The 22,473-nt window shown below is 39.6% G+C and overlaps 1 long non-coding RNA gene across 1 annotated transcript, besides 3 other annotated features; it reads left to right on the plus strand.

Moving 5' to 3' along the window:
* Positions 1-3,908: 3,908 nt before the first annotated feature.
* Positions 3,909-15,327, plus strand: LOC124909452 (uncharacterized). The gene is made up of 2 exons (XR_007096143.1): positions 3,909-4,356; positions 5,042-15,327. It is a non-coding gene; the product is annotated as an uncharacterized LOC124909452 (long non-coding RNA).
* Positions 16,271-16,852: an enhancer, noted in NCBI's record as "H3K27ac-H3K4me1 hESC enhancer chr3:158654093-158654674 (GRCh37/hg19 assembly coordinates)". NCBI's record gives its function as "activates a minimal SCP1, AML or CMV promoter by ChIP-STARR-seq in naive H9 embryonic stem cells {active_cell/tissue: H9 hESC(naive)}" and the evidence as "EXISTENCE:reporter gene assay evidence [ECO:0000049][PMID:30033119]".
* Positions 16,271-17,611: a biological region, named in NCBI's record as "MED14-independent group 3 enhancer GRCh37_chr3:158654234-158655433".
* Positions 16,412-17,611: an enhancer, noted in NCBI's record as "MED14-independent group 3 enhancer chr3:158654234-158655433 (GRCh37/hg19 assembly coordinates)". NCBI's record gives its function as "activates an origin of replication core promoter dependent on BRD2, BRD4, P300/CBP and CDK7 cofactors, and independent of MED14, by STARR-seq in HCT116 cells {active_cell/tissue: HCT116}" and the evidence as "EXISTENCE:reporter gene assay evidence [ECO:0000049][PMID:35650434]".

The following is a 22,473-nucleotide window of genomic DNA, read 5'->3' on the forward strand; positions in this document are numbered from 1 at the left end:
CTAGGATAGACATAACTCAGGTCTTGGACAGGCTATCATAATTTCTAAGTAAGAGGTGTTTAAATCTCTGAGATTGTGTACTGCTTCTCTAAGTTATCCTCCTTGGATTCACTGATTGTTGAAAAACCCTTTTAACAGAAAAGAGTGAGTTACAAAACTTGTCATCACCCCCATTAAAAAATAACCTTTATGCATAAATTTTGACTATAACAAAAACTGCATGATCTGGTGGTGGCAATCCAAACCTCAGGGAATATGAGCTTTGATTGCCATTGCTATTTTAGAACATTAAGGTTGCTGTTAATTTGTAGAAAAATTTAACTGGTGTGAAGGTAAGCAACCAGTAGAAGAAACAAGGTTCCACATCTCCTTCACCTTCTTGCAACCTTCCCCTTTACCCCTTTCAGTAGGTACAACAGATGATAATGAGGTCCAATCAGATTTATCATTTTAGCATTATGACCTGTTTCAGGATTGGAGATTTCTGGGGAGTGCTTTTGTGACACTCCCTTTCCCTCCTGCTCCCTCACAGAACACTCACTGAGTCATCCAGATTACTGCACTGTTGCTGTCCCATGCTCACCACTTAGACATCTTTCTTAGGGTTACCTGATGTGCTGTTTTTGCATGTATTTTCTCTATTAAGTTAAATAACACAGCAGTTACTTTTAACATGTAAAAACATTTGTCTCTTCATGGCAGCATGGTATTTTGTAAGCAAAACACTTTCATCTTTAATTTACAGGTGTGCCAGACTGAGCTCTTTGAAAAAAGTCCAAACTTGGTTTCTCTTTTCTAAAAAATTTGTTTTCTATTTTTTCCGTGTGGTTTCCTCTAAAGAAGTCTATTTGTTCATATCTGGGCCTTGAAATAGGGCTTGACAGTATTATAAAATCAATAAATTCTATTTAAAGCACCAAACACAATCCCAGTGGGTGAGATTGAGGGGCCAGCTTTCCTCCTGGTTCCAAACAATCTTCTTTCTGTCTCTCCTCTCTCCATCTCTCCACCCTCCCCCTTTTCAAGCTTTTACATGCTTATTTTTAAAGTGGGTTTTCTTCTTGCACTCTTGACTTCTATATCTGCTGTATTAGTTTTCTAGGGCTGCTATAACAAAGTATCACAAACTAGGTAGCTTAAAACAGTAGAAATTTATTATCTCGGTTCTGGAGGTTAGAAATCTGAAATCGAGGTGTCGTTAGGGCCATCTTCTCTCCAAAGTCTCTACAGAAAAATCCTTCCTTGCCTCTTCTGGCTTCTATTGTTTGCCAGCAATCCTTGGTTTCCTAGGGTTGTTGTACATCATTCCAGTCTCTGCTTTTGTCATCATGTGGCATTTTCCCTGTGTATCTGTTTCTCCATGGTGCTTTTTTTTACCCTCTCTGTATCTCTGTCCAAATTTTCTTCTTATAGGGACACCATTCATTGGATTAAGTCCCACTCGAATCCAGTATGACCTCATTTTAACCTGATTACATCTGCTAAGACCCTATTTCCATATAAACCCTCATTCTGAGGTTCCAGGTGGGTATGGCTTTTTGGGGACACTAATCATTCCTGTACACCTGCCCAGAGCTATTCTTACTGAGGGCTTATAAGTGGTCTAATATCAGCAATTCTAGCCTAAGTCTTTTCTTTTGGGAAATATTTCAATTACATGTCATTTTTTTTTCTTTTTTGGGGTAAACTTTCAATCAAAATTTAACATAATACAGAACACATCCACAAATAAGTGAATGTATTTTTAGAGTGAGCAAAGCCACGTAACTACCACTCAGATCAAGAAATAGAACATCACCAACAACCCAGAAGCCTCCATATGTCCCCTCCCCAGTCATTGTCTCCTTTGACTAGTCTCTATTGTGACTTCAATCCCTGTTAAGTTTTGCTTGTTTTTTTAATGTGATACATATATACTCTTTTTTATCTGGCTTTTTTTTTGCTCAACTTTGAGTTTCATCCATACTATAGTGTGTAGCTGTAGTTTGTTCATTCTCTTGGGTGCCTAGTATTCCATTCTATGAATATGCTACAGATATTTTTCCATGCTATTGCTCGTGGACACCTAAATTATTTCCAGTTTTTTGCAATCACGAATAATACTTTGTGAATGTTTTTGTGCATATCTTTGGATGCACCTCTATATGTCTTTGTGTTTGCTACCTGCTTAGAAGTAGAATTGTTAGGCCATAGAGTATGTATTTATTTAGCATTAGCAGATACTCTGTTTTCCAAACTGATTGCACCAGTGTACACTTAGACCAGAAGTGTATGAGAGTTTCAGTTGCTCTGCATCTTTGCCAACATTTGGATTTTTTTTCATTTTAGCCTTTTTGGTGAATACATAATAAAATTTCATTGTAGTTTTCAGTTGCATTTTCCTGATGATTGATGATCTTGAGCATATTTTACTATATTAACTTGCCATTCAGATGTTCTTTTGTGTAGTGCTTTTGAAAATTATTTTGCTCTTCATTTTATTAGATTTCTATCTTTTTATTTGTAATTTATAACAGTATTTTAAGTATCCTGGCTATGAATTCTTGTCAGATATGTGGTTCAAATTTTTTCTACCAAGCTGTGGTTTCTTTTTTCTTTCTTCCTGGTGTTTTTTAATCATGTCAATTTATGTATCTTTTCATCTATAAGATGAAAAGGTGACAGCTTTTTATAACTTATTTAAGAAATCTTTGATTGCCCCAAGTTCATGAAGATATTCTCATGTTATCTTCTAGATGATTTATTTTTATTTTGCATTTAGGCTTATAATCTATTTGGAATTGATTCATACGTCTGTGTGAAATAGAAGTCAAGGTTATTTTTCTTACATGAATATCTAATAGATCCAATGCCATTTATTGAAAAGATAGTACCTTCCCATTTTTATCGAAAATGAATTTTATATGTGCAGGTCAGTTCTTAGACTTTCTACTCTGTTTAACTTGGTACCAATACTATTTTGTTTTTGTTGCTATAGCTTTATAATAAGTCTTGATATCTAGTAGTATAAGACCTCAGAGTTTGTTCTTCATTTTAAAGATTGTCTTAGCTATTCTTGGCTTTTTGTATTTCAATAAAAATTTTAAAATCAGCTTGCAAATTTCCAAAAATAGTACCTGTTAGGAATTTGGAATTATTGAATGTGCAGATTAATTTGAAGAGAACTGACATCTTTACAATATTTAGTATTCTAATCAATGAAAATGATATATTCTATTTCAATGATGGCAAACTTAGTAGAGTCAGACTGTAAATATTTTAGAATTTGAGGATTATATACAGTTGCTGTTGCATATTCTTATTCTTTCTTTTTGTTTTATAGCCCTTTAAAAATGTAAAAACCGTTTTTAGCTCACAGGCAGGAAAAAAAACAGGCTGTAGGCTGCAGTTTGCCAATCCCTGCTTTATTTATTTAGTTTTTATTTACTATATCTAATAATGTTTTATAGTTTTCTGGGGAGAGTTTTTGCATTTAAAATACTACAGTTAAGTAGGAAGTCAATTATATTATTTTTAAAGATACCTTTTACCAGATTAAACAAGAGCCCTTCTATTTCTACTTTGCTAAGAGTTTTTACATAAACACCATGGAATACTATGCAACCATAAAGAGGAATGAGATCATGTCCTTTGCTGGGACATGGAGGAGCTAGAAACCATTATCCTGAGCAAACTAACACAGGAACTTATAAGTGGGATGCTGTTCTCACTTATAAGTGGGAGCTGAACAACACACACTGGGGCGTGTGTGTGTGTGTGCACGCGTGCATGCGTGTGGGCTGGGGAGGGGTCTGGGGAGAGGGAGAACATTAGGATAAACAGGTAATGCATGTGGGCCTTAATACCTGGGTGATGGGTTGATAGGTGCAGCAAACCACAGTGGCACACATTTACCTATGTAACAAACCTGTGCGTCTTGCACATGTACCCTGGAACTTAAAATAACATTAAATTTTTTAAAAAAGTTTTTTAAATTATTAATGACTGTTAACATTTATCAAATGCTTCTTCTGAATCAATTAAGATGATCATGATTTTTTTCTCTTACTAGTTAATGTGGTTAATTATAATTTTCAAATGTTAAACCAACCTCGCAGTCCTAGAGTAAACCCCATTTGGTAATTGTGTAGTATCGTTTAATATCTATATCTATATTGCTGTTTTCTTGTATATATTTTCATGAGAGAGATTGGCCTGTAGTCTTGAAATGTCTTTGTCATGTTTTGATAGAGAGGTTATGCTGACCTCTTTTCTATTGTCTTTTTGTATTGTCTGAAACAATTTGTATTTTGAGTGAGGTCATCTTCGTCTCTCAAGACCAGCCCAGTTGCCAGCTGAATACCACTGAATGAACAAGTAAGTACAGTTGGCCCTCAGTATCTGTTGGCTCCACACCTATGGGTTCAACCAATTTCAGATCAAAAATACTTTTTAAAAATTCTGCAAAATTCCAAAAAGCAAAGCTTTAATTTTCTGTGTGCCTTGTGCTATGTTGAATCCATGTGAAGTGATATGCAAGCATTGTATTAGGTATTATAAATAATATAAATATAGGTTATGTGCAAATACTACACCATTTTATACAAGAGACATATAAAATCAGAGAATTCTCAGATGTTGGTATCTGTGAGGGATCCTAGAGCCAATCCCCCATGGATACCAAGAGATGATCATATATACATAGTGATACTACCATTGGTTAACTGTGGGACTATGAGAAAGTCACTTCTGAGACTCAGCTTCATCATCCATAAAATGCTACAGTTGAATCTTTAGGTAAAGTCTAGCTTTAATGGCCTGTGATTCCCTTTCGTTCTCTATTTCTTGGAATGTGCCGTGAAGATTGTGCTTTGCAAAGTGCTTTGAGCTGTTTTTCCTCACTCCTACAAGATGGCGATTCTAATGCTCTCAAGCATTTGTTTTGAAATTTATATTGAATTATTAATAAAGTATCCTCTGTGGAGAATAAGTTGAATATAGTAGGGAACTCAAGACATATGAAGATCTCAACTAGGAAATATCTGTCCTTTTCACTTGGTAGCCAAACTGTCACTGGAGATGAAGAGAGGGCCTTGGCCACTGTGCCAGGTGTGCCTGCTACAGTTCTTGGAAAACAGAGGCTGCTCAGTAGAGGAGGGTGATATATCTTCCTGACAAAGCTCCTGCCAGGAGACGATGTGCATAACTCAGCCCTGAGCCTTTCTATGAGCTCTGCCAAATCCGACAGACAGGTAACAAAACACTGAAAAAAAAGTAATGTCAGCCCAGCCTGGCGAGTGCCAACACCGCTCCCTTAATTACTCTACCTAGTGACAAAAGCTATTCATCAAACTCGAAATAAAGTGGTTTTAAAGTCAGAAATTTATGTGCCAGCCAGTGAGAGGCTGTAATTTTGGGGGCATTGGTTTAAAGCAACATAAAGCAAGATGAAAACAAATTGGAGAGCCAGGTAACTTTTCATTTACACAATGGCACCATCAGGTTTGTCTTTGGTTCTTTCTGATTTTCTCACCATGTCTTTCTCCCCACATTCTAGCCAAATAAAACTTTTGATCCAGGCCAAGATCCCATCCTGAAGCCAAAAGGAAGATTAATTCATTCTTGATTTACTTATTAAACATTTGTTGTATTAAATAAGTAGAGTGAAAAGAAGGCCGAGTAATCCTGGAGGAATTTATTTATTCAACAAGCATTGACTACCTACAATGTGCCAGACATCAACAAAAGGGCTAGGAAAATGGTGGTAAACAAGACAGCAAAGAAATGTTTTCTTATGGAGCTCACATATGTATACAGAAGAAAACGTAAATACATAAGAAGATGTGGATAGTGATAAATGAGAATGATGGGGGGTGGGCAGGGAAACACAAGAAGAGGCATGTGGAAATGTAAGCACTAGAGCAGCGGTCTACTTAGTGCATCTGGTGAATGGAAAATGGGCCAGTGTGGCTGGTGTGGGAAAGAGTGGAAATAGACAAGGTCGGAGAGGTTGACAGGGCCAGATCAAGAAGGGCCTTTGAGCCAGAATGAGGAGTGAGGATTTCATTCCAAGTACAGCATAAGCCAATGGAGAGTTTTAAGCACAGTGATCATGTGACCAACACTTATTGAAAGTGAAGGATTTGAAAGGGTTTTTGCAAAAGAAGTCATTATCTAATTCAAGATTTATTGAGCTTAAACAATTATTGAACCTTTGTTATGTGCCAGGTGCTGACGACAGAAAGATGAATAAGATGCTGACTCTGTCCTCGAGGTACATACAATCCAGTGGAGACACACAGTCTTGTGCATGAATAAGAACAACATGGCAATAATGAGCAACAGTGCCTTTGTGGGGCAAAGTCATGTGGTGCCACTTCCATCTGTTTTATTAACAAACAGAACATGGTCTCTTAAAAGAGGCTTTTCTGGATGTGCTTTTTGTTTTTTTAAGTGCTGAAAGGTATGTACTACATTCCAGAAGATAAATATGCCCCTAGTTTGGCTCTCCCAGAGGAAGTGTGAGCATTCTAAGAAGAGGCACAATGGAACCAAACGTCTCAAGACTTGTGTTCTCTTCCCTACATGGTTGGGAGACACTGAAATGAGAGCAGGTGTTTTTGGGAATCCAGTCTTCATTTTCTTCATCAGTAAAAGAGGGTTAAAATATTTGCTCTATAAAGTCCCCTCTAGCTGTCTCATTCTGAAACCCAAGGGAAGCTTTGTCTGGATCATTCATTTATAGGCTACATTTTTGCCTTAGTAATAGGGAATACTAACTTTGAACCCCAATAAAGCAAAATGTTATCCCCCAAGGAGAATTATAGTCTTCCCATTAGTAGATGTATATTGCAAAACTTGTACTTAATTATGATTATTTAAAATTTTTGAATATTTGTAAAAATTTTATAGAATTTTAAAAATGCTTTTGAATTTTAACAACTTGTAGAATATTTTTTTCTCTCTTGTCTAGCTAGGTACCTATATTATATCCTTGATTTTGTCTCATGTCCTGAAAAGCCTAAAATGTGGATCTTTATCAAAAAAGAATGCCAAATCTTGTTTTAAAACTGGAATGCTGTGGAACACAATGTTTCCCAGAGAGAAATCCCTGAAATTCTATTCCCACTGATCTTCAATGCAGAAGAGGTACCATGGTCAAATGAAGGCCCTGACAATTCCTGAAGTAATAACAAATTCACGACCACAATCAAATGAACGTGCAAATCCATTTCACTGTGTTTAACTGAATGTTTTTCAATATCTGTGAAGACAGACTGTTCATTGGAAAACAATCCTCAAAATGCACATTGGGCCCTGGCCGTGAGCTGGGTTCTGTCTGGCACACTCCTGTGTTCTCTAGGCATGTACTTTTATTCAAAGCCTCCAGCTGCAATGGTAGGGAAGTCTATGTTTGTTTCAAGTTATAGTCTTTCCCCTTTGCTGGACCATCTTGGCTGCAAACTGGGAGCCACACATGCCGAAACAATACATTTTCCTCCAAATCCTGGAACTGTTCCTTCCTAAAGTCCCATGCCTGGATGCCAGTGGAAGCAGTCTGGCCTCAGATTGAGGAGATCTGAATCTACAGACAATGTAAGACATTGAAGTTGCTTTTCCTTATAGAGGTGAGGGGTTTGAGTCATGTCACTTACATTCTCTTGCTTGGTTTCCCCTGTGACTCTAAGAACATTGTGCAGCACACTGTTTCCCCCTCAGTTTCCTTGTGGGACATCTGAACCCAATGCATGCAGGGGCTGAACTCTGTGAAGCTCTCACTGGGTTCAGATGAGCAGGGCTTGTGCCCTAACTCCTCTCCCTCTCCAAGCACTACCATTCCAATAATAACTGCTATCTCTTTTGAACTTTGTGAACCACCTGAGCAGGCTATGACACTAGCCTTTAGCAGTGGCCAGAGTGATTCACATGGCACCTGCAGGGCCAAACTCATTGAGGGACATTGTTAGACAGTGTTCAACAACTGAGGCATAGATAACAGTTGAATGAGTGAACAAATGCCATTCAGCCCCAGAGAGTTGCCTCCTGGTAGGCAGGGACTTGTGCAGTGTGAGGATTCCAGACTGCTGTCTGTGCAAGGGATACTATGTAGAGAGGAGGCAGGGCAGGAAAATTGAACAAGCATAGGTTTGAGTCCCAGACCCGCCAAGCAGCCAAATATCACCTTAATCAAGTTTTAAAACTATTCCTGGGGATGAGTTTTCTTCTGGAATACCTACCTTGCTAGATTCTTGTGATAATGAAGGCTTCATAAGGGAACTTATGTGACAACTATGAAGGATCTGACACATGGTAAGAACTCAACGGATTACAGTGATGATAAAGCAGTTATTAGGGTTGAAGGCCTCATCAGCCATCACCCCGTCGACTCCCTATATTCAAGATGAGGTGACTTAATCAATATGCCAGTCAGTGGGGGAACCCAGGTTTCCTCAGTCCTAGTTTAGTGCTCTGTTACACATTTCTGCCTTCAATTATACATTAATTTCTGAAAGAAAAATTGCAGTTCTAACCTTGAATATCCCTGTAAATTCTGGCTTTGCATTGAAACCCGAAGGATGGGTACCTGGCCTCCAGTGTTTGTGGGCTGCTCAATGGGACTTTTTAACCACAAAGCTGAGAACATTGCCTTCTAGAAAGAGGGCATCTCTCTTGCTGACACTCACAGGTTGCCAGGCTGGGACTTGGGAACACCAGGCTCACAAATGCCCCATACATGTGAGCAGTTGGCTAGTCTATGTCTCATGCCTTGAGGAAGGTGAAAGATCCTCGAGCCATTGTATTGCTGTCTCACCACACACCTGGCTGGAGCTAGACTTCTGGGGCTTGGCTGAAGTTTTGAAGGAACCACCTGAGGTGACTCAGGTAAGTAGCAACAAGGCAGGGAGGAGAGAAGCAGAGGCAGCAGAAGGGAAGAGAAGGACAAAGGCACTCGTAATAGGCTGGAGCAGGCAATGGTTTTCTTCCTCAAGAAAACAATATACACCATGTCTAGATTCCTTGCCAGACTAGCCTATAAAAATTGCATTAAACACATAAGCCTTATGAGCTATAATACTCGTGAACTGTTAGAGTTACCGAAGTTTCTGTGAACTAGACTGAGTACCTCCTCACTTAGCATTTTCATAGTCTTATTATTAATTACTTTATTATAAAAATATCAAAGTATACTGAAGAGTATAAAATAAGTCTTTTCCCTTACTCTGTCCCCAAACTGATCCAACTTCTAGAGTTTTCTGTTGATAGTTTCTTATATATCTTGCAGATATTTTCTCTATATACGTAACTGTAGTAGGTATAAAGTCCACAAACATCACTCAGAAAGTGACATTTGAAGTGTCACTGGAGGAGGACAGGAAGTGAGCCATGTAGCTATAGGGGCTGGGGAATTCCAAAAAGAGTGAACAGCAAGTGCTGAGCCCCTGGATGAGAGTGGTGGGCTTGAGGAGTGGCAAACAGGCCCTGAGGCTGGAGTGCAGGGAGGAAGGAGGAGATGTGTGGGTTGAGCTGGAGAACCCACAGGGCTCCGTCGGTCAGGGTAGGGGCTTGGGCTTTAACTGAGTAAAATGAACATCTGTGAGCAGAAGCACACCATGATCTGACTTATTTTTAATAGCAGGGAGAATCATTTGGAAGCTATTGTATAATCATCCAGGTGAGGGATGATGGTAGCAAGAATCTTGATGGTAGTGGAGTGTAAAAATAATTGGATGCTGGATATATTTTCACGGTACAGCTAATGTGATTTGTTGTTGGATTGGTTGTGGAGTGTGAGAGGATGAGAGGAATGCAGGGCAACTTCTAGATTTGGTTGCTGAATAGCCAGAATAACATGGTGGCAAATTCATGGTGGGGCCAGTATTCCAAACCAAGCCTACTGGGCGCGGGTTCTCTACTTCCTGCTCTATACAGTCTTGCCTCCTGGGCACCACACAACCTTCCACAACACTGTGCTGTGGTAAAAGTTTGCACTCCAAGGCAAAGAACAAAATGTCAGAATATTGCCTTCCATTGAGTTGGAACCTTTTTAGATCAAATCAGTCATAGTGTCTGAAAGGGTGTTCTTTTGGTCATTTCTGATATTTAAAAGATGCTTACTAGAATCCAGGTGATTCATCTCTAGAATTCTGGACTCACTTGTTGGGAATGATTGAACTGGACCATTACTCCAGAAAGTCTTATATTTCTGTTTTTGGTGACTACACTCTCTGTGTGAGAGTTTTGCTGTGTTTTTTGTTCATCCATCACTTTCTGTGCCTTATAATGAAAACAGTGAAGACAAATGTGCTATTTATAATTTTCTTCCTGGAGTCATTTCAATTAAAAATTAATTAAATGTCTTCACATCATAATTTTAAAGTATTCTATCAGCAATGGTGAGACAACATAAAAGCTGTAAGAATCCCCAAGTCTAAAATAAACTTATGCAAATACCTTTTCAAAATGCCACTGTGTGCATAGACAGCATTACTTAAACATGGTTAGTACTTTTATGTCTTTATTAATTTTATTAAAGTATAGAAAGGAAGACTTGGGATTAAGGGGTATTCAGGGAAGACATTTGCAAAGTGTTAGAGTATAGCATGGTAGGGGCTGTTGAGGTTTCTTTGCTTTAGAACCACTGGTTCTCACATTTTGGTGCCTACCAGGAAACACTTGAACTGGTAAAGTGCATGAAGGCCTGGGTTCACTGAAGTAGGATATGGACTGGGTCTTTCATATTTTTGTTTGGTTCCCTGGGTGATTTTGAATACCCATGAAAATGTGAGAGCTACTGCTTTAGAGGACCACACTTCCTTAGTATTTTGAGTCAGTGATTCTGGATTCTGAACATGACACACCAGGAGGTAAAATCTGTTCTGCTCAATGCTTTGGGTGCCTTAGGTGTGATATCCAACTCCCGCCTTCCAGGAATATGATGTCTGAAAATGGCTGAAGTCAGCAGGGGTCCCAAACATTTCATACCTAGAAACACCTAGGTATGACACTCTTTCCTTAGAAACTGAGCTGTGGAATTCTGGAGTTCCATTGATAAGACCGCAAATGTGTGGATTTGCAGGTGACATATTGGTTTGCACCAAAGCAATTCTCTTATTTCTCTGCCAAATGCATCTTTCCCTATAGGGGCCCCCAAGTCTATTTTTCTGCCAAGAAACCCACGGTGGTTATAAGTGAGGGAAGGGAAGGCTGTGTGGACTAACTCCAACGTTAGAGATGAAGTCCTCCCTAATGAAAGGCAGCAGGAGATACAAATCTAAAGTCAGGGGAGACAGGGTTACTGCAGGATTTAGACTATTTTAATTCCACATTTTATTTCCATTGTGGGAGAGAAAGACATCCTTGAACTTCCCAATAATAGTAACTGTTAAAAAGTGCTAAGTATTGTCCCAAAAGCATTCTGGACAATATTTTAATTATCCTCATAAACTCAACTGAAGATTCAGTATTATGCTCATTTCACAGAAGAGGAAATGGAGGTACAGAGAACCTGCCCAAGGCCATGCCAGCCTGTTACGGGAGCTAAGACCCAAACCCAGGCTGACTGGTTGCAAAGTATATAATTTTAACCATTATGCTCTGCTGTCTTTCAACCTAGCAGGATTTATGCCCCTCTACCCCACTCCATTATGCAGGCCTAGGAATCATAAATGGGAGTGATACAGAGAGACGAATACTCCAAGGCAGCCCTTCAGACAATTGAGGTGTCTGGTGTCAGGCAAGACAACTGGGGGCTCCTGGGAGCCCTCCCTTGTCTGAGAAACAAGGTCCAGGGTGGGATGAGGGTGGGGGTGGGGGCATGCAGGGAGGTGGTCAGCTGGAACACAGTGGCACAGCTGAACTTGTTCCTTATAGGTGGCATCCATTGTGACTGGGCAGTGCCTGCAGCATACCAGTCCTTGAATGTTCTGTATGTCACTCCTGGGTGTATGTTCTTCTCCCTGAGAACCATTGTTGGCTTGAAGATAGGCCCCTGAATTATCATGGACCTTCTTCTAGGACAGAAGAGAGAGGCCAGTTGTTCAGTGGGCCGTCAAGTGCTGCTGACAAGTGGCAAGCTGTGAGCTACTGGGAAGCCTTGAGTTGTGGAGTGGGAATGGTGGAGGGTAGAGGTGGTTCAGTGGATAGGATGAACACCATGATCCCCAGGGCAAGATTTCTAAAACTTGAGTAATATAAGGATCCCTTCTAAGGGAAAAATATTACAGCATATCTCCAGTATAAAATTTATTCTTATTATAGTATTACTACTTAAGGCTCAAACGAAACATTAATTATAAATCTTTATCTTTATGAATTATAAAACTAAATTTAACAAAAACATATGCAAATGACAATAACAATAAAATTCAAGTTAGTAGTACTGATTTAATGTGATAGATGCTGTTGCTTTGCTGAAACAGCCACACCTTGCAATACATCGATGGCGTTGGCACTACAGGCTCTTTGGATGCAGGACCTCCACTTCACATGTGATAGGATGACTCGGTTAACCTTGTACAGTTTTCTACTGCAAGACCTTTGTTTGTCTGTGAAGTCCTTTGGCTCCCATCATATGCAAAAATGTTATTGATGAGTTATGTCGATCTCTGAAGAACTCCTTGGTGCCAATGTGATTGTGATACAAACTTGGGTACAATGTTGTATGATGGTTATAAGTGGGTGATTATATAGATAATAAATAATGGGCCTATTTAGATTTTTTTAGATTGATTTGGGATTATGTTCCACTGGGAATTAAGCTCTTATAAGAGCAGGGGCTTTGTTTTGCTCTCTGCTGTATTCTCAGTGCTGAGCACAGTACCTAGAACAGCTCTGCCCAATAGACATAGAATCCAACCATAGGTAGGAGTCACATATGCAATTTAGAATTTTCTAGTAGCCACATTTCAAACAGTGAAAGAACAGGTGGAATCAACTTTAATATATTTTATTTAGCCCAATATATTCAAAATACTATCATTTTTATGTGTAATCAATATTCAAATTATTGAGATATTTTACATTTTTCTAAGTTTCCAAAATTTGGTATGAATTTTACATTTAAAGCATGCTCAAATAAGGCTAGCCACCTTTCAAGTGCTCAATCATCACATGTGGCTAGTGGCTACTGTATTGAACAATATAGATATAAAAGATAATAGGTGCTAAATAAACTTTAAAAAATATTGCTGTATGAAGGATAAAAAGAACTTTCAGGTCCTCAAACCTTCAATCATTCTGGTTTCAGTGATTCTGATGCTGTCTCTCATATTATAGTGGGGAAGCAGCAAAAGAAGTGATTCTAAACCTCTTCTCACTTGAATAAATGCAGTGGCATCCTCCTACCCAGTCTCCTTGCATGCAGCCTTGCTCCTTTGTAATCATTGCTACCCAGGACAGCTAGACTGCCTTTTCCTAAAATGCAAAGCTTAAGTCCCTCCCTCATTCAAAAACCCTCCAGTGGCTTCTCTTCAACATTAAAATAAAGTCCAGTTTCCTTAGCATGGATTGGAAGGCCTGTGATGATCGGGCCCTTATATTCTCTTCTGCTCTCCTTAAAGTCTCTGCCCCATCCAGACTGGATTTATTCCTGTTTTTTTTTTCACATGCTGCGTCATGTGCCTGCAACATTCCTTTCTGCTCCTCATTCCTTGGCTAACTCCTCCATATCCATCAAGTACAGGTTAAAATGTCACTTCTAGGAAGCCCCCCCTGACCCCATGGACTGTGTAGCTCTCCGATTCTTGCTGCTGTGTACTGCCCTAGTTAAATATTCCTCACTCGCACATCCCACATCAGAACCCTCTTTTCAGGAACTGTGCCTCCTACTTTTTGGGAACTGGGATAACTAAGGAGAAAGACAAAGGCTGACTTGGATTGTAGAGGACTGGTAGATTTTATTATCACAAAGTGTGGCAGAAGTCTTGGGAGAAAGGAAATGGACATTTTCTACCTAGTTAAAAATGTTATGCTGGCCAGGCGTGGTGGCTCACGCTTGTAATCCCAGCACTTTGGGAGGCTGAGGCGGGCGGATCACGAGGTCAGGAGATCGAGACCATCCTGGCCAACACGGTGAAACCCTGTCTCTACTAAAAGTACAAAAAAATTAGTCAGGCGTGGTGGTGGGCGCCTGTAGTCCCAGCTACTCGGGAGGCTGAGGCAGGAGAATGGCGTGAACCCTGGAGGTGGAGCTTGCAGTGAGTCGAGATCATGCCACTGCACTCCAGCCTGGGTGACAGAGCAAGACTGTCTTAAAAAAAAAAAAAAGTTATGCTAAGGCTTAAGTAAATTGCAGAAATCCCATTCTTCCTATCACCATGTGGACCAGGGAATTATTCCAGTTAAGGTCAGCTGGCCCCTGTGTCTTTTTTCAATTGGGAGATGTGAGTTTTGGAAAACTTGTGGCTCCTCTGTCCTTGAGTATTGAGGGTTCCTCCTAGGTCCTCCCCCTCATCAATTAAAATGACTCACATAGCAATGATATTTAGCATACATATCAACTAGAACAGTGGTTCTGAACCAGAGGAACATCTCAAAATCACCAGGGAGTTTTGCTAAAATACAGCTGTTACATATCTGCTCTCCCCTACTCCCCCTCTAGGCCCATGAATCAGAATCTCTCAGGATGGGGGCCAGCAATATGTACTATGTGTGGGCTTCTCAGTCAACTGATATTTCATCTCTGGTTAAGAATTATTGAGCCAGGGTAAGAGAAGAGCAAAGTAGTCTAAAACCAGAGGCTTTGCAGATTATGATGGGTGGTTTCTTAAGGCAATGTAGATGGCTGGGGGTAATATTTCCTATTCTAGGAGCACAGTCTGGAAGAACTATTAGTGTGGGAATGGATAGCTGGTATTGAAAGGCAAGAGAATTCTGAACCCAACTGATCAGGCTTTATTTGTTCCTTGTGCAACTCATAATCTTAAGTTTTTATTATTGCACAGCTGCCAATTTGATTTTTCAATGCAAATAAAAGTCTGATGTGTTATGACACTTTGCATTTGTTCACTGTATCTATTAAAGGATGAAATAGTTTATTAAAAATTGTTCTCAAACCACATTCAAACACCTGTTGATAAGGACAAGTTAGCAGAGTATAATGTGATATTTCATCATCTATTGGCCGTGGGGCTTTAGAGGTGAGGTTTAAAAGTAGCACCAGTATATTTGGGATGTGGGGATTGAGGGAGACATAGTGTTGCCCACCATAATATTTTACATTTTTTCAACACATACTTAGTGAGGGCATGTGATGTGCCAGATCTGGTTTCTAGCCGTGGAAACAAAGACCCAAATCCATGCCTTCACAGAGCTTACATTTTAATGGAAAAAAAATAAATGAATAAATAAGTTATATAGTATTATAGATGTGGTAATTACTATGGAGAAAAAGCCTAAAAGGAGGATAGGCGTTATTGTGTGTGGAGTGGGAATGGACAGGAGAGTGGTGGTGACATTTGAGCACAGACCTAGAGGAGAAAAGGGATGAACCATGCGGGTGTCTGGGAGTAAAGTGTTCCAGATGGAACAGTAAGTGCAAAGGCCCTGAGACAGGAGAATATTTGGAATGTCTGAGCGGGAAGAGCATGGTAGGAGATGAGGTTGGGGAGGTAATAAGGGGCCTGGGTGGCTACAGCAAGGTGGTCAGCTTTTACTCTGAGATGACCAATCATTGCCAACTTTTGATCTAAGATGTAAGAGACATAATTTTAAAAGGATCATTTGGATGATGGATGGAAACTGCACTCTCCAGGGACAGTGGTGAGGCAGGAAGACCCTTTAGGAAGCTGTTGCAATATCCTAGAAGTGGCTGGGACCTAGGTCACAGAGGTGAAGGTAGTGAAGAGGAGGGCAGATTCTCAATACATTTTACAGGTAGAGCTAGGAGGATTTGCTGAATGCAGGGTGTCTGAAAGAAAGTGAAGGATGAGGCAGATTCCTGGCCTGAGCAACTGGAGGGGCGGGGTGGCAGTTCACTGAGGTGGGCAAGATCATCGGGAGGCAGGATGTGGGCAATGCCTGGAAGTTCAGGAATTTGGTTCAGACCAGTTTACAAAAGTGAGTCGTCGTTTGGTTGGTTGCAGCACTCAAATTGCTGCTATGCAGAGTTGCTGATTCTAAAGTCTTAGTGCATCATTAAGCCTTCTAAGAAGAGGCACAATGGAACCACACGTCTCAAGACTTATGTTCTCTTCCCTACATGGCTGGGAGACACTGAAATGAGAGCAGATGTTTTTGGGAATCCAGGCTTCATTTTCTTCATCAGTAAAAGAGGGTTAAAATATTTGCTCTATAAAGTCCCCTCTAGCTGTATCATTCTGAAACCCAAGGGAAGCTTTGTCTGGATCATTCATTTATAGGCTACATTTTTGCCTTAGTAATAGGGAAGACTTTGGACCCCAATAAAGCAAAATGTTATCCTCCAAGAAGAATTCTAATCTTCTCATTAGATATGTATTGCAAAACTTGTACTTAATTATGATTATATTTAAAATTTAGAGAAAACATTATGAAAGACTTTTTAAGAAATTAGATCAGGGCAGAAAATTTTGGAGAATCTTTTTTCCTGCTAGAAAATGACCAACAAAAGTTGTCACTTGATCTGAGTTAGTGAGGTGGCAGGAAGCATTAACACTCGGAGGAGGGCACGAATCCGGTGTGCAGACTCCACAGGCAGGGGACAAACCAAGTCCTTTTCTTTCGCAGCTGGAAGGCGGGTAGCCTAGGCAAGTTCTCAAGCCCGCTCGCCCTCCACCTGGAAACAGACTTGGGGCTTTTGGCGGGGCTCGGTGAGAGTGAGACCGGCCCTTTGGTTTGCATGACAGCTGGGTGAGGCCTGTGACTGCCGGCTTTCCCCCACTTCCCTGAAAACCTGGATGACTCAGCAGAGGCAGCCATAATCCTCCTAGGAACTTAACTCCATTAACCTGGGAACCTCACTCCCATCCCCCACGGCAGCTGCAGCAAGACCTGCTCAAGGAGAGTCTGAGCTCAGACATGCCTAGCCCTGCCCCCACCTAATGGTCCTTCCCTACCCACCCTGGTAGCTGAAGACAAAGGGCATATACTTTTAGAAGTTCTAGGGCCCTGCCCACTGCCTCTTCCTCCCCATACTACCACAGCTGATGCTGTCTTGAAAGAGCCACCTCCCTGGCAGAAGGCCAACCAGCACGAAAATAGTGCATTAATCAACCAAAGCTAAGGACCCTCACAGAGTCCATTTCACACCCCTGCCACCTCCATTGGAGTGGGTGCCAGTATCCAAGACTGAGAGACCCACAGATGGTTCACATCACAGGACTCTGTGCAGACAACCTCCAGTACCAGTCTGGAGCCTGGTAGATTTGCTGGGTGGCTAGATCCAGAAAAGAGATTAACAACCACGACAGCTAGACAGTTCAGCTCTCAGGTAGCCACATCCCTAGGAAAAGGGGGAGAGTACTACATCAAAGAAATACCTCATGGGACAGAAGAACTGAACAACAGCCTTGAGCCCTAGACTGTCCCCCTGATAGCCTACCCAAATGAGAAGGAACCAGAAAACCAACTCTGGTAACATGACAAAACAAGGTTCTTTAACATCCCCAAAAAAATCACACTAGCTCTCCAGCAATGGATCCAAACCAAGAAGAAACCCCTGATCTAACTGAAACAGAATTCAGAAGGTTTGTTATTAAGCCAATCAGGGAGGCACCAGAGAAAGGTGAAACCCAATGTAAGGAAATTAAAAAAAAATGATATAAGAAGTGAAGGGAGGAATATTCAATGAAATAGCATAAATAATGAAAACTTCAGGAAACAATGGATGCACTTATAGAAATGCAAAATGCTCTGGAAAGTCTCAGTAATAGAATCAAACAAGCAGAAGAACTTCAGAGCTCAAAGACAAGGTTTTTGAATTAACCGAATCCAACAAAGACAAAAAAGGATAAGAAAATACGAACAAAGCCTCCAAGAAGTCTGAGATTATGTTAAATGACCAAACCTGAGAATAATCAGCATTCTTAAAGAGAAATCTAACAGTTTGGGAAATATATTTGGGGGAATATTCGAGGAAAACTTCCCTGGCCTTGAAAGAGAACTAGACATCCGAATACAAGACACTAGAGGAACACCTGGAAAATTCATCACAAAAAGGTCATTGCCTAGGCACATGGCCATCAGGTTTTCTAAAGTTAAGAAGAAGGAAAGAATCTTAAGAGTTATGAGGCAAAAACACCAGGAAACCTATAAAGGAAAACCTATCAGGTTAACAGCAGATTTCTCAGCAGAAACCCTACAAGCTAGAAGGGATTGGGGCCCTATTTTCAGCCTCCTTAAACAAAACAATTAGCCAAGAATTTTGTACCCAGTGAAACGAATTTCATAAGTGAAGGAAAGATAGTCTTTTTCAGACAAATGCTGAGAAAGTTTGCCACTACCAATCCATCATGAGAAGAATTGCTAAAGGGAGCTCTAAATCTTGAAACAAATCCTGGAAACACATCAAAACAGAACCTGTTTAAAGCATAAATCTCACAGGACCTACAAAACAAAAATACAATAAAAAAGCCCCCCAAAAACCAAGGTATATAGTCACCAAATAGGATGAATGCAATGGTACCTCACATCTCAATACTAACATTGAATGTAAATTACCTAAATGCTTTACTTAAAAGATACCAGAATTGCAGAATGGATAAGAATTCACCAACCAACTATCTGCTGCCTTCAAGAGGCACACCTAACACATAAGGAGTCACATAAACTTAAGGTAAAGGGATGGAAGGAGACATTCTATGCAAATGGAGACCAAAAGCAACAATAGTAGCTATTCTTATGAGGCAAAACAAACTTTAAAGCAACTGCAGTTAAAAAAAGACAAACAGCATCATTATATAATGATAAAAGGCCTTGTCCAACAGGAAAATATCACAATCCTAAATATATATGCACCTAACTCTGGAGCTCCCAAATTTATAAAACAATTACTAATAGACCTAAGAAATGAGATAGCAATACGTTAATAGTGGGGGACTTCAATACTCCACTGACAGCACTAGACAGGTCATCAAGACAGTCAAAGAAACAATGGGTTTAAACTATACCCTGGAACAAATGGACTTAACAGATATTTACAGAACATTCTACCCAACAACTGCAGAATATACATTCTATTCAACAGCACATAGAACTTTCTCTGAGATAGATCATATGATAGGCCACAAAACCTCAATAAATTCAAGAAAATTGAAATGATATCAAGTACTTTCTCAGGTTACAGTGGAATAAAACTGGAAATCAACTCCAAAAGGAACCTTCAAAACCATGAAAATGATGGAAATTAAATAACCTACTCCAGAATGATCATTGGGTCAAAAATGAAATCAAGATGGAAATTTTAAAAATCTTCAAACTGAATAACAATTGTGACACAACCTATTAAAACCTCTGGGATGCAGCAAAAGTGGTGCTAAGAGGAAAGTTCATAGCCCTGAACACCTACATCAAAAAGTCTGAAAGAGCACAGACAGACAATCTAAGGTCACACCTCAAGGAACTAGAGAAACAAGAACAAACAAAATCCAAACCCAGCAAAAGAAAGGAAATAATCAAGATCAGAGCAGAACTAAATGAAATTGAAATAAAAAAATACAAAAGATAAATAAAACAAAAAGCTGGTTCTTTGAAAACATAAATAAAATTGATAGGCCATTAGCAAGATTAACCAAGAAAAGAAGAGAGAAAATTCAAGCTCAGTTAGAAACAAAATGGGAGATATTACAACTGACACCACAGAAGCACAAAAGATCATTCAAGGCTACTATGAACACCTTTATGCACATAAACTAGAAAACCTAGAGGAGATGGATAAATTCCTGGAAAGATACTACCTTCCTAGCTTAAATCAAGAAAAATTAGATACTCTGAACAGACCAATGACAAGCAGCACAGGTGAAAGAGTAATACAACAATTACCAACAAAAAAGTCCAGGACCAGACAGATTCACAACAGAATTCTACCAGACATTCAAAGAATAATTGGTACCAATCCTATTGAAACTATTCCACAAGATAAAGAGGAAACCCTCCCTAAATCATTCTATGAAACCAGTATCACCGTAATACCAAAACCAGGAAGGGATATAACCAAAAAAGAAAACTACAGACTAACATCCCTGATGAACAAAGATGCTAAAATCCTTAACAAAATACTAGCTAACCAAATTCAAAATATCAAAAGATAATTCACCATGATCAAGTGAGTTTCTTACCAGGGATGCAGGGATGGTTTAAGATAACGCAAGTCAATAAACGTGACACACCACATAAACAGAATTAAAAACAAAAATCACATAGTCATCTCAATAGATGCAGAAAAAGCAGAGAAAAGCCAGCATCCCTTTATGATTAAAACTCTCAGCAAAATTGGCATACAAGGGACATATCTCAATGTAATAAAACCCACCTATGACAAACCCACAGCCAACATACTACTGAATGGGGAAGAGTTGAAAGCATTCGCTCTGAGAACTGGAACAAGATAAGGATACCCACTCTCACCAGTCCTCTTCAACATAGTACTGGGGTCCTAGCCAGAGCAATCAGATGAGAGAAAGAAAGGGCAGCCAAATTCATAAAGAGGAAGTCAAACCATCACTGTTTGCTAATGACATGATCATTTACCTAGAAAACCCTAAACACTCCTCCAGAAAGCTCCTAGACCTGATAAAAGAATTCAGCTATGTTTCCAGATACAAAATCAATGTACACACATCAGTAGCTTTTCTATATACCGACAGTGACCAAGCTGAGAGTCAAATCAAGATCTCAACCCCTTTTATAATAGCTGCAAAAAAAATAAAATACTTAGGAATATATCTAACCAAGGAGGTGAAAGAACTCTGCAAGGAAAACTACAAAACACTGTTGAAAGAAATCATAGATGACACAAACAAATGGAAATACATCCCATGCTCATGGATAGGTAGAATCAATATTGTGAAAATGACCGTATTGCCAAAAACAATCTACAAATTCAACACAATTCCTGTCAAAATAGCACCATCATTTTTCACAGAATTAGAAAAAACAATTCTAAAATTCATAAGGAACCAAAAAGGAGCCCACATAGCCAGAGCAAGACTAAGGAAAAAGAACAAATCTGGAGGCATCACACTACCTGATTTCAAACTATACTATAAGGCCGTAGTCACCAAAACAGCATGGTACTCACATAAAAATGGGCACATAGACAATGGAACAGAAACCCTAATACTTAACAGCCAACTGATCTTTGACAAAGCAAACAAAAACATAAAGTGGGAAAAGGACACCCTTTTCAACAAATAGTGCTGGGATAATTGGCTAGCCACATGTAGGAGAATGAAACTAGATCCACATCTAGGAGAATGAAACTAGATCCTCATCTCTCACCTTATACAAGAATCAACTCTAAGATGGATAAAGGACTTTAAGACCTGAAACTGTTAAAATTCTAGAAGATAACATTGGAAAAACCCTTCTAGACACTGGCTTAGGCAGGGATTTCATGACTAGGAATCCAAAAGCAAATGCAGTGAAAACAAAAGATAAATAGCTGGGACTTAATTAAACTAAAAAGCTTTTGCACAGCAAAAGGAACAGTCAGCAGAGTAAACAGAAAACCCACAGAGGGGGAGAAGATCTTCACAATCTATACATCTGACAAAGCACTAATATCCCAAATCTACAATGAAGTCAAACAAATTAGCAAGAAAAAACAATCCCATCAAAAAGTGGGCTAAGGACGTGAATAGATAATTGCAAATAGAGGATATACAAATGGCCAACAAACATATGAAAAAATGCTCAACATTACTAATGATTAGGGTTTTCATTTGCAAATGAAAACCACAATACCATACCACCTTACTCCTGCAAGAATAACCGTAATCAAAAATTTTAAAAATAGATGTTGGCATGGATGCGGTGAAGAGGGAACACTTCTACACTGCTGGTGGGAAGGTGAACTAGTACAACCACTATGGAAAACAGTGTGGAGTCTCCTTAAAGAACTAAAAGTAGAACTACCATTTGATCCAACAATCCCACAACTGGGTATCTACCCAGAGGAAAAGAAGTCACTATATGAAAAAGATACTTGCACACGCATGTTTACAGCAGCATAATTTGCAACTGCAAAAACATGGAACCAACCCAAATGCCCATCAATCAATGAGTGAATAAAGACTGTGGTGTATATATGCAGTGGAATGCTACTCAGCCATAAAAAGGAATTAAATTAATGGCATTCGTAGCGACCTGGGTGAGATTGGAGACTTATTCTAAGTGAAATAACTCAGGAATGGTAAACCGAACATTGTAGGTTCTCATATGTGGGAGCTAAGCTATGATGATGCAAAAGAATAAGAAAGATACAATGGACTTCGGGAATTCAGGGGGAAAGGGAGCAAAGGGGGCGAGGGATAAAAGACCACAGATTGGGTGCAGTGTGTACTGCTCGGGTGATAGGTG

This window comes from Homo sapiens, chromosome 3, assembly GCF_000001405.40.
Source record: "Homo sapiens chromosome 3, GRCh38.p14 Primary Assembly".
NCBI classification, from domain to species: Eukaryota; Metazoa; Chordata; class Mammalia; order Primates; family Hominidae; genus Homo; species Homo sapiens.